General features: G+C 38.3%; 1 protein-coding gene across 11 annotated transcripts in view, besides 4 other annotated features; it reads left to right on the top strand.

Moving 5' to 3' along the window:
* Positions 10,104 to 10,263: an enhancer, noted in NCBI's record as "active region_24786". NCBI's record gives its function as "activates an Ori minimal core promoter by ATAC-STARR-seq in GM12878 lymphoblastoid cells {active_cell/tissue: GM12878}" and the evidence as "EXISTENCE:reporter gene assay evidence [ECO:0000049][PMID:35858748]".
* Positions 10,104 to 10,665: a biological region, named in NCBI's record as "H3K27ac hESC enhancer GRCh37_chr6:84937275-84937775".
* Positions 10,165 to 10,665: an enhancer, noted in NCBI's record as "H3K27ac hESC enhancer chr6:84937275-84937775 (GRCh37/hg19 assembly coordinates)". NCBI's record gives its function as "activates a minimal SCP1, AML or CMV promoter by ChIP-STARR-seq in naive H9 embryonic stem cells {active_cell/tissue: H9 hESC(naive)}" and the evidence as "EXISTENCE:reporter gene assay evidence [ECO:0000049][PMID:30033119]".
* CEP162 (centrosomal protein 162) overlaps positions 10,579 to 19,667 on the top strand; it is a 103,394-nt gene continuing 94,305 nt past the window's right edge. For 6 of the 11 annotated variants that reach the window (XR_007059227.1, NM_014895.4, XM_047418388.1 and 3 more), the window contains exons 1-3: positions 10,579 to 10,642; positions 11,770 to 11,885; positions 17,051 to 17,165. Coding sequence is in view for 7 of the 11 variants with exons in the window: in NM_014895.4 (NP_055710.2) it covers positions 11,829 to 11,885; positions 17,051 to 17,165 (172 nt within the window). In the remaining 4 variants the exon portion in view is untranslated. Of the gene's footprint in view, positions 10,643 to 11,769; positions 11,886 to 15,053; positions 15,907 to 17,050; positions 17,166 to 19,008; positions 19,120 to 19,667 lie in introns of those variants that run through there. The other 5 variants (XM_005248674.5, NM_001286206.2, XM_047418386.1 and 2 more) reach the window with 3 other exon arrangements.
* Positions 10,666 to 11,166: an enhancer, noted in NCBI's record as "H3K27ac hESC enhancer chr6:84936774-84937274 (GRCh37/hg19 assembly coordinates)". NCBI's record gives its function as "activates a minimal SCP1, AML or CMV promoter by ChIP-STARR-seq in naive H9 embryonic stem cells {active_cell/tissue: H9 hESC(naive)}" and the evidence as "EXISTENCE:reporter gene assay evidence [ECO:0000049][PMID:30033119]".

Here is a 19,667-nt window from a genome sequence, read left to right as displayed (position 1 = left end):
GCCTCCACCTTTGTTCTTTTTGCTTAGTATTGTCTTGGCTATGCGGGCTCTTTTTTGGTTTCATATGGAATTGAAAGTAGTTTTTTTCTGGTTCTGTGAAGAAAGTCAATGGTAGTTTGATGGAGATAGCATTGAATCTATAAGTTACTTTGGGCAGTATGGCCATTTTCATGATATTGATTCTTCCTATCCATGAGCATGGAATGTTTTTCCATTTGTTTGTGTCCTCTCTTATTTCCTTGAGCATGGTTTGTAGTTCTCCTTGAAGAGGTCCTTCACATCCCTTGTAAGTTGGAATCCTAGGTATTTTATTCTCTTTGTAGCAATTGTAAATGGGAGTTCACTCATGATTTGGCTCTCTCTTTGTCTGTTATTGGTGTGTAGGAATGCTTGTGATTTTTGTATATTGATTTTGTATCCTGAGGCTTTGCTGAAGTTGCTTATCAGCTTAAGGAGATTTTGGGCTGAGACAATGGAGTTTTCTAAATATACAATCATGTCATCTGCAAACAAGACAATTTGACTTCCTCTCTTCCTATTTGAATACCCTTTATTTCTTTCTCTTGCCTGGCAGAACTTCCAATACTATGTTGAGTAGGACTGGTGAGAGAGGGCATCCTTGTCTTTTGCTGGTTTTCAAAGGGAATTCTTCCAGCTTTTGCCCATTCAGTATGATATTGGCTGTGGGTTTGTCATAAATAGTTCGTATTATTTTGAGATATGTTCCATCAATACCTAGTTTATTGAGAGTTTTTAGCATGAAGTGGTGTTGAATTTTGTTGAAGGCCTTTTCTGCATCTATTGAGATAATCATGTGATTTTTGTCATCGGTTCTGTTTATGTGATGGATTACATTTATTGTTTTGCATATGTTGAACCAGCCTTGCATCCCAGGGATGACGCCAACTTGATCATGGTGGATAAGCTTTTTGATGTGCTGCTGGATTCGGTTTGCCAGTATTTTACTGAGGATTTTTGCACTGATGTTCATCAGGGATATTTGCCTGAAATTTTCTTTTTTTGTTGTGTCTCTGCCAGGTTTTGGTATCAGGGTGATGCTGGCCTCACAAAATGAGTTAGGGAGGATTCCCTCTTTTTCTATTGTTTGGAATAGTCTCAGAAGGAATGGTACCAGCTCCTCTTTGTACCTTTGGTTGATTTTGGCTGTGAATCCGTCTGGTCCTGGACTTGTTTTGGTTGGTAGGCTATTAATTACTGCCTCAATTTCAGAACTTGTTATTTGTCTATTCAGGGATTTTACTTCTTCCTGGTTTAGTCTTGGGAGGGTGTAAGGGTCCAGGAGTTATCCATTTCTTCTAGATTTTCTAGTTTATTTGTGTAGGGGTGTTTATAGTATTCTCTGATGGTAGTTTGTATTTCTGTGGGATCAGTGGTGATATCCCCTTTATTATTTTTTATTGTGTCTATTTGATTCTTCCCTCTTTTCTTCTTTATTAGTCTGGCTAGTGGTCTATTTTGTAAATCTTTTCAAAAAACCACGTCCTGGTTTCATTGATTTTTTGAAGGGATTTTTGTGTCTCTATCTCCTTCAGTTCTGCTCTGATCTTAGTTATTTCTTGTCTTCTGCTAGCTTTTGAAATTGTTTGCACTTGCTTCACTAGTTCTTATAAATTTCCCTCTAAACACTGCTTTAGCTGTGTCCCAGAGATTCTGGTACATTGTGTCTTTGTTCTCATGGGTTTCAAAGAACTTCTTTATTTCTGCCTTCATTTCATTATTTACCCAGTAGTCATCTAGGAGCAGGTTGTTCAGTTTCCATGAAGTTGTGAGGTTTTGAGTGAATTTCTTAATACTGAGTTCTAATTTTATTGCACTGTGGTTTTAAAACACTAATGGTCAAGCACTCAGCCTCTACCAGGACCATGTAACACACTAAAAACTTTTCAAATTGGCAAGTAGCTTTCAAGAGCAGAAAACATGATCTTCTTCACTATCTACTGATCTGTCTTCTGACTATGCAATTGAGGCTTAGGGAATGTTTAACACACCCCTATTTACCATGGATATTGCTAGCCACCATCAGATTTTCTGGGTCATGTGGACCAAGCTTCCAGCGTGCTTACACTACAACCTGGACCTGTTACAGACCGTTCTATTGCTCTGGGTAACACTAAAGTCCAATAAATGGGTTAGTACAATACTCGCAAATGCAGTACATGCTGCTTTTAAAATCTACAAGGGCCCATGAAGCACTATGTCTTTTTCTGGGTGGGAGGTTCCAATGTGTAACAATTTGTTTTTTATCTTTATCTTTTATAATCATCTAAAATTTCAAAAATATGGCAGTAGTCTAAAATTTTGTAGGGTTCATATCCCACCCTCTGGTGTTCATGTGCCTAATTAGGGCATCTAGAATAATTGCCACTTCTTCCTTATCTAGTGCAATTAACATGATGCCATTCAGTAGACTATCATGATGTTGTGAAATGACAAGCCAATTAAGTTTCCTACAGGCTACATTGTGATACAGAACAGCAGAGTTAATACAGCTATGGGGGGAAATAGTGAATGTAAACTATTATCCTAGCCAAGTGCATACCAACTGCTTTTGATGTTTTTTCCAAAGGTGATTTAAAAGACAATATTTTCCAGATACATAGAGGTGCTAGTCTCTGCCATCCCTCCCATGAAGAGGTCTTGATTCTGATTTACTCACTTGGATGTTGGTGGCATGTTTTCAGAGACTTCCACTTAGTACTTCCTACCATAACGGCTCCACAGATCCTGGAATCAACATAAGGCTCCTTTCAGTTACATACTTGGAAATTTTATAAATTATTTATTTATGGACTGGGGAAAGAATCAAAGAGTGAGCCACAGACCCATTGTAACCTCTGTGAGACATACTTGGGCTAGGACTCTTTTACCTTTCCTCATATGCCCTCATGCTAACTGGAAGGCCATGATAGCATTTCAGGTTCCCTGGCATCAGTATTAGCTCATACCTTTTATCCAACAATCCTTGAAAAGTCTAACTATTCTTATTTCCAGTTTTCATCTAGCCTCCAAACACCCCCACTCTAACTAGAGACCCATGGAAGCTTTTCTGGCTCTCTAAAGCAGTTAGCATTAGGGTCAGCTCATACTCCCTATTCAACAGTCTTCAAAAAACTAACTATAATTATTTCCTCAGTGCAGTGTTACCCTAGTAAATGGTCATAGGTCCCTTTGTGGAAAGATAGGGAGAATGTTTATAATTATTCATGTGACAATGCAGGGTCTTTCCTTAAGGGCACTCGCCCTGCCTTTTAACCAATGAGATCTAGGTCTACAAAATTACATAAATCTAGAAGCTGGATGAAGGACCTAGATTTTCCATTGTGATAGCTGATGCTCATATTCTTCTTATATTCTGATGGAGCACATCACATGAAGATATTTTGGTTGTTGTTGTTGCATACACACACACACACACACACACACACACAAATTGCCCAGTCAGCTATCCATGTACCTCATCCCTCAAACTGCAATTTATTAGCCATTGCCACAGATTCCTGCAGGTCAAGACAGCCAGACTGCTACTATAGACTTCTGTCAATTTCAGTAATTGCAACCATCTTGCCTCTGACAGTTTAGTATCACCACATATACTTTTCACTGAGAAATCCCATACCTTCACTGATACTAGGGAGACTAGTTTCAAGCAGCATCTCCTGTTACTAACCCTGACATGGGGAGGATAGACATCACCAGGTTTTTCAGATTCTGATGTTCCCCTCACCAGCCAATTGTTTTCTGTCTTATTGAAGGGTATATCCTCTGGATCCTCTCAGGGAACAAAGTCAGGTGACAGATGCTAGAGATCATATAAAGAATCCACACTAACATTCCTATCTTCATGAGCCTTCTCAAATCTTCCTTAATACCAGCCAAAGCAATTTCAGCATTTCTGTCTCATTTTCCTATTTGCCATCATCACATGCAGACTTCAAGGAAACTTCCCAGAAGAATATTAAGACCAGCTCCAGATGTCCTTACTAGGAAATTGAGCCCCAATTCAGGAGTGAGTGCTCTCATGTCAATAAAATCTTCCCTGTTCAGCCTTATTTTATTTCCCCCACCAGTCAACACTCTCAAAATTCACCCCTACATGTATTTCCCTGGTTTCTTTTAGTACATATAATCTAGGACCTGCAATTCCTATAAACCATTTCTTCCTGGAGAAAGAACTATATTTCCCAGCTCAGGTGTTTTGAGACCTGACCCAAGCTACTAGCAGGGGGACAATGAATGGTGACCAGACAGATCTTGAGGAGGACAAGCATCATCTTGTGAGTTTCCTCCCTCACATAAGGGTCTTTAGGTCTTTTCAAGGTCTCTAGGCAGGAAGAGGATGTTCTGCTCTAGTAAGGAGAATGGGAGTGCTTCTGCCATTATTGAGGGTTCAGGGAAATCTGAGAGTTCAAGACTCCCAGACTTATCCACCCAAATGTCCATATTCCAAGTTCAGTGTTCCACTATTTGCTATCAGAACCCTGACTCAGAAGACCCAGAAAGGTTGTGGCTTCAATTCCCTTTGCAACTGTGCCACTCTTACAATTTGATCTTGGGCATGACTTTCACCACCTACTCTACTGCAGCTGCAGGAAAGGATGATTTCCTCAAATGCTGATATAAGCCCTTGACTTTTATAATGCACATTGATTGTGGCTGACCTGAGCCATTAATTGTCTTTATTTCAAGGCATCCAAAGCAATTAGTAAAATCCAGTCATTCTACAATATTAATAATTACCTTTGCCATCATACTATATGAATAACCCCTCACATTCCACCTGTACCTCTGCCTAACCAATCTCATGTGAGAATCTTAGCAATTGCATTCCACTGGTTATCACCACTCCATCTCTTTCAGCAATGGGGTCTTCATTGCCATCTTACTGATGAGTTCTTCAGTTCCCAAATCCTATCCTAATGGTCTGCTTTCTAGGGATAACTCTAATACTATCTGTCTTTCCCAGGGTTCCCCTGAAAGGATAACATTAAACATAGACTTGAATGAAAGTAATGTATTTGGAAATGAGTTGTCAAGTAGTAGAAGTGATGAATAAGGACAGTGACGGGGGAGAGAGAGAGAGAGAGAGAGAGAGAGAGAGAGAGAGAGAGAGCGAGCGAGCCAATACAAGAATGTATCATCAAACCATTGCTGTGAACAACTGGTTCCAAATCACAGCAGACATTCTGAAAAGTCTTATGAAATGTGTATCAATACTGTCTACCCTAGGGTGAAAAGCAGAAGGCATTTATTCATCGGTTCCTCCCCACACTGGTCAAGGGTTAGCCCACAGAAGTTAAGTCCCTTACACTTCCGATGTGCAAGCTTTGAGTGCTGAATGGGTTCCCTCAAGTATCAGAGAAACCCCAGGGAGTGGAAAGCAAGAGGTTCACATGCAGGCTTAAGGCAGGCACACTTTTGACTTAATCTGTGAAGCTAGTCAAGCCTGAGCGAAACTGGTCCCAGCAGCAGTGACAAGAGTAAAAGACGAGGCCATGAACATGTGAATGTGACATATAAGACAGTCCAATGGAGCACACAGAAAAGTAGAGTATCAACCATCAAAATTGGAACTAATAAAGGACCATCGGTTAGAAAATGACTCTATATGGCCTATTTATGCTTAAGACTACAGATTGTGACTGGAAAAATACTTGTTTCTGGCTAAAAGATATTATAATCATTTTCTTCATTAGGTTTCTTAATACAACAAAATAGTGATATTTGTAATCCAAAACATTTAGCTTAAGAAATAATAAGCACAACTTCAAATTTCTACCTTATCGACATATTTTAATAAAGTAATTCTGTGTTCTAAGAGTTCCATTCAGTAAATCAGTAATGTTCCATATAGCCCTGTCAGTAAAACTATTTGGAGGCAAACACACTCACTTTATGAATATTTATTTATAAATTAATATATTTATAGCAATTAGTCCGCAATATTAGTCAAACTTTAATTTATTAAGTTTGAGATAAAAATAAATTGAAAATAAATTCTAATATTTTCTTCTTATATCCAATCACCTCCCCATCATCTAAGGTATGTGAATACAAAAAAACTTAATTTTAGACTAACATTATCACATAGACCCAGTCTAATAATTTGTCAATAATCAGATGAGCTTAATCCATATTTTAGATGTGCTAAAAATCACAATTTTGTATATATGCGTAAAACACATATTTATACTTATTTCTCTAACTTGCTGGGGAATTCATGTATGTATTACATTGATTATATATTAATAGATGTAGAAATTTTGTGATTATCTGGGTTACGGAATTATAATCTAAAATATCAGTTTTAGACAGCACTCTGGAGCTCAAGGGAGGTCCCTTCAAGACCAATAAAAAAGCATAGAAAGAGAGCTCAAAACCATCCTTCACCTGCCTCCCAACCATTGCAACTCTGCTTTGTTTTATACATTGTGCTTCTCACAAGATTTTCCTAGAAGAAAGGATTCTGAAACATATATATATAACCTATGATCTTATTCTATCTAGTAACGGATTGACAGAAAGTTGGGGAAAATGGGACAGGCGTCATTTAGATTTCACCAATTTTATATGCACTCACTTGTATATGTGTGGTGTGTGTGTGCATTTGTATGCAATCTTATCAACATGTAGCTTGTTATAACTGCTACTGTATCAGGATACAGAACAATTCCATCACTACAAAGATTTCCTATGCTACCTCTTCATATCTACACTCACCCAGTTGATAGTTCATTGTGGTTCTAATTTGCATTTCCCTAATGATGTGGAATATCTTGGTGATGCTGAGCATCTTTTCATGTGCTTATTCACCATTTTCATATACCTTTCTCATGTCCCCTTTGGTGAAATGTCCACTCGTGTCTTTTGTCCATTTTCTAATTGTGTATTTTGCTTTTGCTATTTTGCTAGTGTTCTTTATATGTTCTAGATAGCAGCCCTTTGTCAGATATGTGGTTTGCAAATATTTCATCCTAGTCTTTAGTTTGTCTTTTCCTCCTCACAGGGTCTTCATAGGCTGAGTTTTTCCTTGATTCGTCAATTTTTGTGTTTTTACATTTCCATAATAATTATAAAACCATGTTGATAACTGTATTATTTAGAAGCATAGCCAAATTGCTGACATCCTCAGTGGCCATTTACTGGATTATTAAAGAATTATTTTAAAAACAATTTCATGACCTAAATCACCATCCATGAGTTCATGATATAATTGTAAATGGGCAGCTCTGCATACCCTAGGGAAAGAGCATCTGCCTGTATTTTAGAAACATTTAAATACTTGTAAATATGACTGTACAATTTCTCAATATTCTACTATGAATTATTATTCTTTTTCTTGGGAACAACTTATAACAATAGCTTAAACTTTGACTACTACATTTCATATACAAAACAATTAAGAAAAATTTTAAGTAGTCAAAAGCAGTCAGATGTGGACAAATGAGCAGAAGTCAACAATGACTTTGACAAACAAAATAACGATGGCAATAACAAAAAAACCATTAATTTTCTTATGACTAGAATGATACGATTCCTTCAGTGTCTTCCTCATTATCCACATAAGTGAAGAGAATACCCACTTCTGAAAATTAGAGGTAAAGAAGCAAGCAACTGGAACTATTATGTAACTGTATCTGATTCAGTTCTTCTCCTTAATCCACTCCCACAATGTGCTAAGTTTACACCCCATTACCGTTGCAGGTCTTGGCTACAACTATACTGTCAGTGTTGACCGAGTTCTCACACTGTACTGTTTGCTACGAGAAAAGGCAATATAAGGCTTGAGGTACAGTCTCCCCCTCTAGAACCTCACTAGAGAGCTGGATAAACACCAAATATAAATCAAATTTCATATCATTCTAGGAAACACAAAAAGAAACACATAATGATTGAGAAACCTGTAACAATTATGGAGAATCTAAAAGTAGGAAACTTTGATGCTACCCAGAGTGATTTAACTACTAAAGTAGCCATTTCATTGACATTTTAGATATATATTTATGATGAGAGCTAGTATTAAATGGTGTTTTAAATTATGGGTCATGAGGTCAATTCATTTTATAAAAATGAATACAATAGTATACAGCACAGTGTAAACTCTCAAAAAATATTAATCATTCTTTTAATGACTATTATTTTGAAAAATGTATAACAATTCAATTCAGTACCAAAAATTTAGTGACATCCCTTCCACAATTCAGCATAACAAACTCTTGGATCCTATAAGCATAAGTTTTGTAGGTTTACGCATAGAGACAAAATGATTATTCACTCTTTAGACACAGTAACATTCATCTTCCACTCCTTATACCAAAGCTCCAATTCTAACCTCAATAGGACTGAACTCTGTACCAGAGCTGCAAATAATTCTGCATGCCTTGGTGAGTGGGGGTGAGAGGAGGCTGTAGAAGAGAATAGTGCCGACCATACCATGCAAGTCCTTGTAGATATTTGGATTTTAGTACAAATACAGAGAGAAATCATTGTAGGATTTTCAGCAATGGAGTAACCTGATTTACATTTTCAAATTATCACATTTTCTATTGTGTAGACAATGGGTTAGACGAGGATAGGAGTAGAAATAGAGAAACTTGTTAGAAGGCTAATGAAGCAGCTCAGACAAGAGGAAAAGATGCCTCTATCATTAGTAATTAAGATGTAAAATGAACAGAATAGAGACACATTTTGGAGGTAGCACCAACAAGTCTTGACGAATAAAATATGGGAGAGAGGGAACTCCCAGATTTCTGTCTTGAATGAGTAGGTGTATGGAAGTACCATGAAGTGTGACAGAATAAGAGTCCAGAAATAAGCCCTAAGAAATTCTAACATTGGCCAGGCGCGGTGGCTCACACCTGTAATCCCAACACTTTGGGAGGCCAAGGTGGGCAGATCAGGAGTTCAAGACTAGCCTGACTAACATGGTGAAACTCTGTCTCTACTAAAAACACAAAATTAGCCAGGTGTGGTGGTGGGCACCTGTAATCCCAGTTACTCGGGAGGCTGAGGCAGGAGAATCAGTTGAACCCAGGAGGTGGAGGTTGCAGTGAGCCGAGATCGCACTATTGTACTCCAGCCTGGGTGACAGAGCAAGACTCCGTCTCAAAAAAATAGAAATTAAAAAAAAAGAAAGAAAGAAAAGAAAAAAAGAAAAAGAAGAAAAGAAAAGAAATTCTAACATTTAGAGGTCAGCTAGGATAGACAGAGACAGTGAAAACCCTTGAGGGGAGGCTATAAATGTGAAAGAAAAACCAAGAAAGAGAGGAGACAAGTGTATCAAATAGTATTGGGAGATCAAATAAAGCGCTGTCATATATGTACACTTACACACACAGAGACAGGATTAAAAGGTCTGACAAAAGGGAGGTAAAGTGGAAATAATTCCTCAGAAAAGATTGGCAAGTAAGGTGAGGAGACAGATCATTTCAACCACTGGGAAATAATAGCATGAAGAGAATGTGTCAGAAGTGATGTTTTAGGTGGGGATCTCAAGGCATGTTCAAATGCTGTTAGGAAAAATCCCACAGCCAGCCAGAAGTCGAAGATACAGGATTAAGGGAAATGACCAGTGGAACAAGATCAGTGAGAAGAAGAATGGGTAAAGGCTCTAGATCATATGTGGGAAGGTAAGTCTTTGATAGAAGGTGGCAGGAAGTCAACTTCTCAATAAATGGTAGCTTAAGATATTTCTTTTATTATTCATATTTGCATCATAGTCCACAGCTCCTGGTTTGTACATATTTGTATTGCAAGAAAGACTTGATGAATAAACAGTTCTAGCTAAAGATGAGGTCCTGAACTAAGTCTACCATCAGCAAAACCTGCAGCTGTTGTAGATTTTACTTACACTATGCTAAATGTTGTCCTCTGAAACTCCAGCTAATGTTGCATGCTTTGAAAAAAAGAAAAGAAATAGAAAACAAAATCCAAGTCAGTAATTGTGAAATGCCAGTAAAGAATGCAGTTTTGAAAAGTAGGGGTAGCGGGAGGAGCAATAACTTAATAAGAATCTTGCTGTTTGCGTATTTTCGATTTCTTGCCCACTAGGTGGTGGAACAGAGTCCCCATCTAAACGACAGTTTTTTTCCTCACAGGTTTGTGTTTCTCTCACAATGCCTACACAGGTCTTTGCAGGCCAAAGAAATCCAAGAAATTCAATCTCTTCAAAATTGCCCCTTGGAAAAACAGAGCGCTCGAATGACAAGTGTGGGGAAGGCGGGAGGCGACGATGCGGAGTGCGGAAACACAAGGACCAGGGGAGCTAAACTACATTTCCCAGAAAGCCACGGGCTGGCCTACAACCACCGCGCCCTCCAAGCCTGCTGGAAGCCTCCGTCTCGCTTCTCCAGTAACCGGTTTGCCGCTGTCCCCTTTTCTAAGGAACGTAGAGAAAGCCAGGGAAGGAAAGGCATTTTACTGCAGCAGCGAAGGTTTAGCCACTAGAGTGTCTTTCTCAGCCGTGGTTATTCCGACCTTCGCTTGTAAAGGCATTGGGAAACCCACGGCCCACGTGACCAGCCCGGGTCATGTGACTCCAGAACCCGGCAGCTGAAGTCTGTTACCCTGACAACTGGTGGACCCGCACAGACCTTCCGGGAAAGCGCGGAATTCAGAGGCAGAGGTAGGTGGTAAGGTGTGAACGCTGGTTTCCCACCCAAATCGCCCTGGTCGAGGCCGTGCTTCATACTCGAGCGAAGGGCTTTAATTTTCCAGGTCATTCCCCTTCTCCGCCCGGAGCCCACGGCAAATGCGTCTTTGTCTTCCCTCCAATTCCCGAACCCGCGCTTCTGGGGACGGGGTCGCAGCCAGGCTTGAGAAGCTTTTAGTGGAGCTCACCCCTGACCAAGCTATTCAGGCCAAGACCTTAACCGCACTTACCCTGAACTGATCGAAAGTGCAAATGAGGGGAAGAGGTGTTACTCTGCACGATGGGGAGGGTATTGTCCGGGTCTGCAAGCCCTCTTCCCCTCCCCCATCTCTACAGAAGAAAGCTGGGATTTGAGCTGCTCTAGGGAGTTCAGGAGCTGGGGGTCGACCCAAGGTTGGGTTCATTAGGTGTCTAGGGGAACGCTTTCCGTTGCAAATCACTGGATTCTGCTTGTGTTCAGCACATAATTTTTGTCGGTCTTCCCTCGCTTCAAAAGAAACATAGTACTGATTTGTGTACTCCATTAACTTTAAGTATTCTTTAAGTATTTTGACTAAATTACTAATTCTTACTAAATTCTATTTGTGTATATTTTGAAACATCCCCGTATCTGGATACAGTCTGCTTTACGAAACTATGCAGTCTGCTTTACGAAACTATTACTATGGATTGGTAAAATAACGAGCCGAGTGATAAGGCAGCACAAACTGTCGTGTGCTTTGCAAGAAAGAAACAGTCCTTTGGATTTGCTAACTTACAGTTTTTAAGATTCCCTGTGAGGACCTGGTTTGTGTTTGAGAGGTACTAATTAACACATGCACACAAACATAGGTTTGGGAAATATTGTAGAGACCACTCTTTAACAATTGGATGTTAACAGATGAAAACATAATTCTGAACGTTGAGTACAAGACATCCTGTCAAAGCTGCTTTTCCAAATCAGTTTGCTTAATGAATTAGGAATCTCTTGACCAGCTCTTACTGGTTAAAAAAAATTGTGCATATATACTGAATCATAACAAATGTCCGAAGTTTAAGTCTGGTCGTGTTCATGATCTGATGGATTTCCTCAAAAGATGTTTATGTCTCTTGTCATTTAGTGTTTCCAATGTTTGAGGTACTTTAGAATGTTTACTTTGGGAGGTCAAAATTGTTGACTATGGCTAACTGTTCCCAAGAAGAGCTAGATGAAGAGTTTGAACAGTTTATGAAAGAGGTAAGTTTATATTTTTAAAAGCTATATTGTCAAATTTGTCTCAAAAGACTCATCCTTCAATTCTGTCATCTCGAAGATACAGTTAGTCCATCACCAAACTCTGAATTCCCATCATCCCTCTAGCCCTGTCCCTTTTCTGCCACTGCTAGTTCAGTGCCATCATCTCAACTGGGCTATGGCAGCAGTTCTCAACTCATGGTCCAGCATTCCTTTCACCACACTGCAGTCAGACTCTGTTCCTCCCCAGTAAAAGACTCTATTGGTCTCCCATCACATGTAGAAAAAAAAAAACAAACAACTCCTCCTTACCATGGTTTTAAAGCCTTTCATGATTTCACTCTTACATATCTCACTGCCTTCATATCCCTCTTTCACCCACTTTATTTATTCCACAGTGGCCTTTTTTCTTTCCCAGACATTGCAAGCTCATTTCACCTTAGGAGCTTTGCACTCACTGTTCCCTCTGCCAATAATGCTCCTCCCTTACTCTTTACCTGGCTGGTGAAAATCTTAACTTAAATATCACCACTTCAGAGAGGCTTCTTCTGTTTATCCAGTAAAAGGTAAACACAAAGTCACTTCTTAATCTGGTATGTATTTAATTCTTTTTATAGCACTTAGCACATTAATTATTTTTCTTGTATGGGTCTGTTTTCTGCTTCCCATTATAAGAATGTATGGTCTGTAATGTGATGACTCTACGTTCATTGCTATTATATATCAACATGTTCACTACTATGTCTACAGTACCTAATAAATACTTAATAAATATTTGAATGAGTATATTAAATGGTTATACCACGTTCTGTGTACAGTCATGCACCTCATAAAGATGGTTTGGTCAGCAACAGACCACATATACAACAATGGTTCCGTAAGATTATAATGGGGCTGCCCTATAAAGGTGTATCTTTTTAATCTTTTGTACCATATGTTTACTTTTCTATGTTTAGATACAGAAATGCTTGCCATTGTGTTACAGTTGCCTGCAGGATTCAGTACAGTACATGCTGAACAGCTTTGTAACCTAGGAGCAATAAGCTATACCATATAGCCTAGGTGTGGAGTAGGCTATACCATGGAGCCATCTAGGTTTGTGTAAATATACTCTATGATGCTCCTATGATGAAATCCCATTTCTCAGAACATATCCCCATAATTAAGCGATGCATAAAACTCTATTTATATAAATGGAGGGGCCTTGTAGAGCATTCAAGAGAGTCACATTTTAAGCTATTATACGTTATACATTCTTGTTAAAAAAGGGAGTTTAATGTAGTACAAAAAAACTTCATTATCCGTCTCATGGAAAAATAATGCCTTCTTTGTAGAATTGTTTTAAGGATTTAAAAAAGCATCTACCAATTGTCAAGATGTAATAGGCACTTGGAATAAGTTTCATTTACCATTTGAAAAGTTGATTTTTTAAAATTTCAAATACAGACACATTTTGAAAATTAAATTTATAGGAATGATTTTTATTGTAAAAGATAGCAGAACAGGCCTTTTAGAAGATGTTTTTATTCTTCCCTCATTTACCACCCTTCCAGCACACACATTCTCCAACACTCTCCTTCCCCCACCCTTCTGTCTGTGTCTCTCTTCCTCTTATATCCATCCTCAGTTGCAATGTGTCATTTTTTTTTTACTGTGAAAGTCATGATTTTAGAGTCATGCTAACTTTTCTCACTTTGATAAATTATTGTTCAAACAATTTATTCAAAGACATAGTTTATATATCTTTATTTTTTAGGACAGTAGTGGTAACCAGCTTTTTAAAAATAGCTTTATTGAGACATAATTCACATACCATTTAATTCACCCATTTTAAATGTGCAGTTCTGTGGTTTCAGAGTTATGTAACCATCACCACAATCAATTATAGGAATTTTTATCACCCCAGAAAGAAATCCCATATCTGTTAGCAGTTACTCCATCTCCTTGTTCCCCCTTCCCTAGCCTTAGGCAACTACTAAGCTGACTTCTGTCTCTAAATGTTTGCCTGTTACAGACATTTCATAGAAATTGTATTATATATTATGGGGCCCTTTGGGTCTGGTTTCTTGTACTTAGCATGATGTTTTCAAGGTTCATCCATGTCGTAGTATGTATTAACACTTCATTTCTTTTTATGGATAAGTAATATTTCATTGTGTAGATGTACCACATTTTGTTTTTCCACCTGTCAGTTGACGGACATCTGGGTTCTTTCCACTTTTTGGCAGTTACAAACAATGCTGCCATGAACAATCATGTACAAGTTTTTGTGTGGATGTGTTTTTGTTCCTCTTGTGTATATGCCAAAGAGTGAAATTGCTGTATCATATGGTAGCTGTGTGTTTGCCTATTTTCTAAAATGACTGTGTTATTTTACATTTCCACTAGTAGTGTATTAGTTTATCAGAGTTCCAATTTCTTTTTTTTTTTTCTTGAGACTGAGTCTTGCTCTGTTGCCCAGGCTGGAGTGCTGTGGTGCAATCTTGGCTGACTGCAACTCTGCCTTCTGGGCTTAAGCAATTCCTATGCCTCAGCCTCCTAAATTGCTGAGATTACAGGCGCCTGCCACCACGCCCAGCTAATTTTTATGCTTTTAGTAGAAATGGGGTTTCACCATGTTGGCCAGTCTGGTCCGAAACACCTGACCTCAAGTGATCCGCCTGCCTCGGCCTCTCAAAGTGCTGGGATTACAGGTGTGAGCCACCACACCCAGCCTAGAGTTCCAGTTTCTCCATATCCTTGCCAACAACTGTTGTATCTGAGAATCAGCCTTTTTGTTGTTTTATTTCTATTTATTTTATTTTTATTTTTATTTATTTATTTATTTATTTATTTATTTTTGAGATAGAGCCTTGCTCTGTCACCCAGGCTGGAGTGCAGTGACGCAATCTTGGCTCACTGCAACCTCTGCCTCCCGGGTTCAAGTGATTCTCCTGCGTCAGCCTCCTGAGTAGCTGGGATTACAGGCATGCGCCACCACGCCCAGCTAATTTTTGTATTTTTAGTAGAGACATGGTTTCACCATGTTGGTCAGGCTGGTCTCAAACTCCTGACCTCGTGATCCGCCCACCTCGGCTTCCCAAAGTGCTGGGATTACAGGTGTGAGCCACCACGCCCGGCCTGTTTTGTTTTATTTTTAATGAATCATATTCATTAAAAATAATTAATGAAAGTGCTGGGAAGCACTGTGGAAGGTTGTTTAAAGTAAGAACACTTATCATGTATTAGAAGTCTTCATTTCTTTTTTTCTTCTTTGTCATGGCCCTACAAGGTCAGTAGTACCATGCCTATGTTACAGATAAATTGAAAAAATGGGAGGAAAGAGAAATGGAACACCTCAAGGTGATACTGAAGTTTAGAGAGTAAGTAAAAAGTGATGCAGCTAACTAATTTCAGAAATTCAGATGGTTTAAGGAATATTTTTTCTTCCCTCCTCCTGTCTTCCTACCTGTTTGTTAGTGAAGACAGTTAAGTTCTTCTTGAACATTTTTAAATTGACATTCTTCAAGTCACTGAGGTAGAGTTTTTTGTTTGGCAAGTGGAAGATTGTGTGTGTGTGTGTGTGTGCACGCGCGTGTGCGCCCTGTCATTTTAGAAGTTTAAAAGGTCACTCAGATAACAATATTCTAGTTGGGGAACTACATAGTATAGTGGAAAGTGGACAGGAGTTAGTCAGACATGGGTTTAAATGTGACTTTGTAACACTTACTAACAGTAGCAACTTAAGCAAGTTGCTTAGCCTCTTAGAGCTTCAGTTTCACCATGAGTAAATTTCTGCAGGGTAGTTTAAAGATTAAGTGAGTTAACCTGAGTGTAGATCCTGACATAGAGCAGGCATGTAGTAAATGTTGGTTTCTTTTCCAGAAAAAGTAATGTAGAATGAGATTGAAAAAGGATCAAGAGCAGAGTCCTGGAAAAGTCTGTTAAATAAATGGGCAAAAAGCCAAAGCTATTAAAATAGATGGAGGGGAGTAGCCACAGATCTGAAGAATAACCCGGAGGAAGTGATGCTACTAAAGTCAAGGTAGAGAGTTTCAAGAAGTAAGAGTTTAAGAGTTGATCACCAGTAGCAAATTCCATGATGTGATCAGGGAGGATAACTGACAGTGGTACTTTATTTGTGGCATTTCGGAGGCCTTTGGTGCCTGGAGGAGAGCTGTTTTGGTTGGGAACCAGATTATAAGGGGTTAAGTGAACTCAAGGAGTTGGTATATCAAGGAAATGTGATAGAGTAAAAGGGACGTAGGGATAAGGAATTTTTTTGTTTTGTTCTACTTTTTTTTTTTCAAAGTTGAGTAGAATGCTCATTTTTTCATTCCGCAATTGTGCCTGGTACTATGCTAGGCACTGGAGATGCAGTGCTGAGCAGGTGTATAATCAGAGGGAAGGGCGGGGAGTAGAGAGAGAAGGGAGTGAAGATACAGATATCAAATGGGATAACCAAGGAAGGAAGAACCTAGAGAAGTTCTGCTTGGAGTGGAGGAAAGAATTGTGTTGTCTGAGAGACGAAAGAAGTGCCTTCACAAGTAAGTTTAGTAGTGGAGTGAGGTGGGTGGTGTTTGAAGGTTTTTATTTCTCAGAGAAAAGGGTGACCAAGTTATTGGCTAAGGTGGTGGGGGGTGATACTGAGGTTAGAGCATGGGATTTAGGATTGTAGTAAAAATTGGATTGGAAGAGTAGAAAAAAGCAAATAAGTGTTTATCAATCACTGAAAAAAAATGCTGATTTTTCTTGGTCAATTTCATCCTCCTCTTTACACCCTGAAACTCAGTTCTTCCTTATATTGAAATTCTGTTTCTAGAGTGGTGCTATGCAATTTTGTTCAGCCATTATTTATTCTTAAACCCTAGAGAATGTCTAGAAGACAGGACTGTATCCTCCCGTTTTTTCTTTGCTGAAAAAAATTCTTGATCAAGTTTTACGTCTTTGTTGTTATTCTCCTGGTTTACTTAATTATGAAATTGATGCTCAGAGATGTGTGTCTGATTTTTAAGTTATTTTGGCCAAATATGTTTGTAGCTGTGAAATTATACGTTATTGATGAGAATGTTATTTATCTATGTGATAGCTGAACTGTGAGCGAACTAATAGAAACATGCTTAATGATGAATCTGAGATTCTTGAATTTACACTGTATTTTCAAATTGAATGTCTTATATCTAATTCAGCTTTCAGATGATTCTTTTGAAAATTCAGACAAAACAGCTAGACAATCTAAAAAAGAGATGAAGAAGAAAGATACAGTGCCTTGGTGGATAACTGAAGATGATTTTAAAGATGATGGTAAATGTTGCTGATTTTTAGTTTCAAATTATTTGACCACAAGGGGTCAGTCAAGACTTCTGGATTTTGTTACTTCACTATAAATATATACAGAAAATAATACTAATAGTGTGGATTTTTGAAGTTTGAATTGATTTTCATATAACCAGTACTTTATTATGTATTTATTATGTAATTGAGAATCTGCGTTATAACATTATCAGCTTATTTTACATGGAGATAATTTATATTTACTCAAATTAAGGTGACAATTCAGGTATATTTATTATCATGTTTAATGATAAATTGATTTAAGGTGATTTAATAAGATATTCTGGCAGTATATTAATGTCATTGCATTGGGAAGAGTTTAACAAACCTATAGACCTTGGTATCACAGTTTGTTAATGACAGTAGTAAAAAAAAATTTACTGCCATATGTATATATGTCTCTCATATATATGTATATGATATGCCCAGGCTGAAGGGCAGTAACACAATCATAGCTCATTGTAACTTCAAACTCCTGGACTCAAGCAATCTTCCCACCTCGGCTTTCTGAGTAGCTGGGACTACAGGTACATGCCAACATGCCTGGCTAATTTTTTTTATTTCTTGTAGAGATAGGGTCTCTCACTGTGTTGCCAGGCTGATCTCGAACTTGCCTCAAGCAGTCCTCCCACCTTGGCCTCCCAAAACGCAGAGATTACAAGCCTAAGCCACCACTCCTGGCCTGATAGGTTTACTATACATGATACTGCCACATCTGTAAACAACCCCGACTGCTTCTATTTCAGTACCTACATTCACACCATTTGTGGATCAGTGTTAAGCACAATTTTGTAAAATGATAGAATTTCTGTATCTCTAGGGAAAAAATATACATATGGGCTTTTGGTTTCCCCCCCTCCCCATGAAAATTGAGCCTGAATTCATGTCATAATTAAGACTCTGCATGATCTGACTGGAACCCTGCCTTCTCGTGTACTGTAGCCATAGGTAATCATTCCTCATCTCCTGGAAACACCATAGGCCTCCCTGCCTCTGTGCATTATCTCATGCTTCCTTGCCATTAGAATGCCTTTCCTCTCATCCTTCTTGCCCAATAAAGCCTAGCATCACCACTTTTTGCAGTCCTTCACTCTATCTTCTAGCTCTCTTGTCACAATTAGTTTCTCCTTCATTTTGATGTCAGAACACCATAGTAACACTTACACATTGTGTTGATAGTTGTAACCTATAGGACAACTCCTGCGGTTGGGAGCTTTGCGAGGGTAGGAAACACTTCTTTGTCCTTGTATCCCCTGACCCTCAACATTAAATGATAAATTTGTTTAATAAATGCATGTTAAAGTAGATTTGACAGTTACTTCTCTGTTCTTTTTAATACTGTAATTTAAAGAAATTCCTTATTGAAAAATTCAGTGCATTTTTTATAAATTCTTATGCAACATGCTGAACTTTGTAGTGAAGAATTATGTTTTAGACTCTCTCCCTGCTTTTAATGCTTGAAAAGGATATTATAAGATGAAGTACTGTTGGAATTGTTGACAAAGATTTGGGACACAAAGCCTTTTGTCTAGAAGATAATGAATCAGAGCAGATATATACAACCTAATCCTACAGGAAAAGAATAGCTCCTAGACCAAAAATACTCACATGTAACCTGATTGATGGTATTAATAATTTTTTTAAATGTATCAGAAATAGATTTGATTAGTAAAAGAAGTAAAGAAGGATAGTCAAGAAGCAAACTTTGACAATGTCAGCTTAAACAGCGGGAGGTTTCCCTGCCCACGGGAATAACCTGGTCCCTGATTCAAGCAAACGGTTACTGAGTTTGTATTATGTTCTAAATACTAGGCATTATTATGAAAAGGCAAGACGTGATTCCTGTATCAAGAGTGTAGAACCTTCTGAGGGAGAATTCAACACTCCTCTTGAGAAGAGGAATGCATTATTAATCTTAAGACAGGTACCATTAAACATTAACAGTGAGCGGCTTTTACATTATAATTTTGCTTGTTTCCCAGTTGCCATAGGAATAAAATGTTCGGCTTAGAAGGTGAAACTATCTCATCCTCTTGCTGATTGTATTCTTTATTGTAAATAACTAAACTGGATCTTCGTTTCTGTTATATTAATCTCTTGTGAACTTGGTTAGTGTGAGCTACAACCTCAAGTCGTGCTTTAGAGCCAGGGTGAGACCCTGGACATGTTGCCACTACAGCACACCAACCTTGGCATATACTTTTTCATTTGAAGCATCTATGAATCTCTCTCTTGATTTTTTACAACTTATGGAGGTTATTATTTGATCCAGTAAAACCATTATTCACAGAAAGGCATAAAATAAATTGATTCTTAGCCTTTTCCAAGAGGACACAAATTAGGAACTTGAAGTCAAAATTCGTGACTTCTTAATAAGGCTTCCTCCTACCAAAAGTGATATTTTTTCTAATCTTCATATTTATAGCACACATTTTCAGTCTTCTGGTTTTTGAAGAAAACAAAGAACAAAAG

Source organism: Homo sapiens, chromosome 6, assembly GCF_000001405.40.
Source record: "Homo sapiens chromosome 6, GRCh38.p14 Primary Assembly".
Classification (NCBI taxonomy): Eukaryota; Metazoa; Chordata; class Mammalia; order Primates; family Hominidae; genus Homo; species Homo sapiens.
The sequence above is the reverse complement of the archived record's forward strand: the minus strand, read 5'-3'. Positions and strand labels throughout refer to the sequence as shown.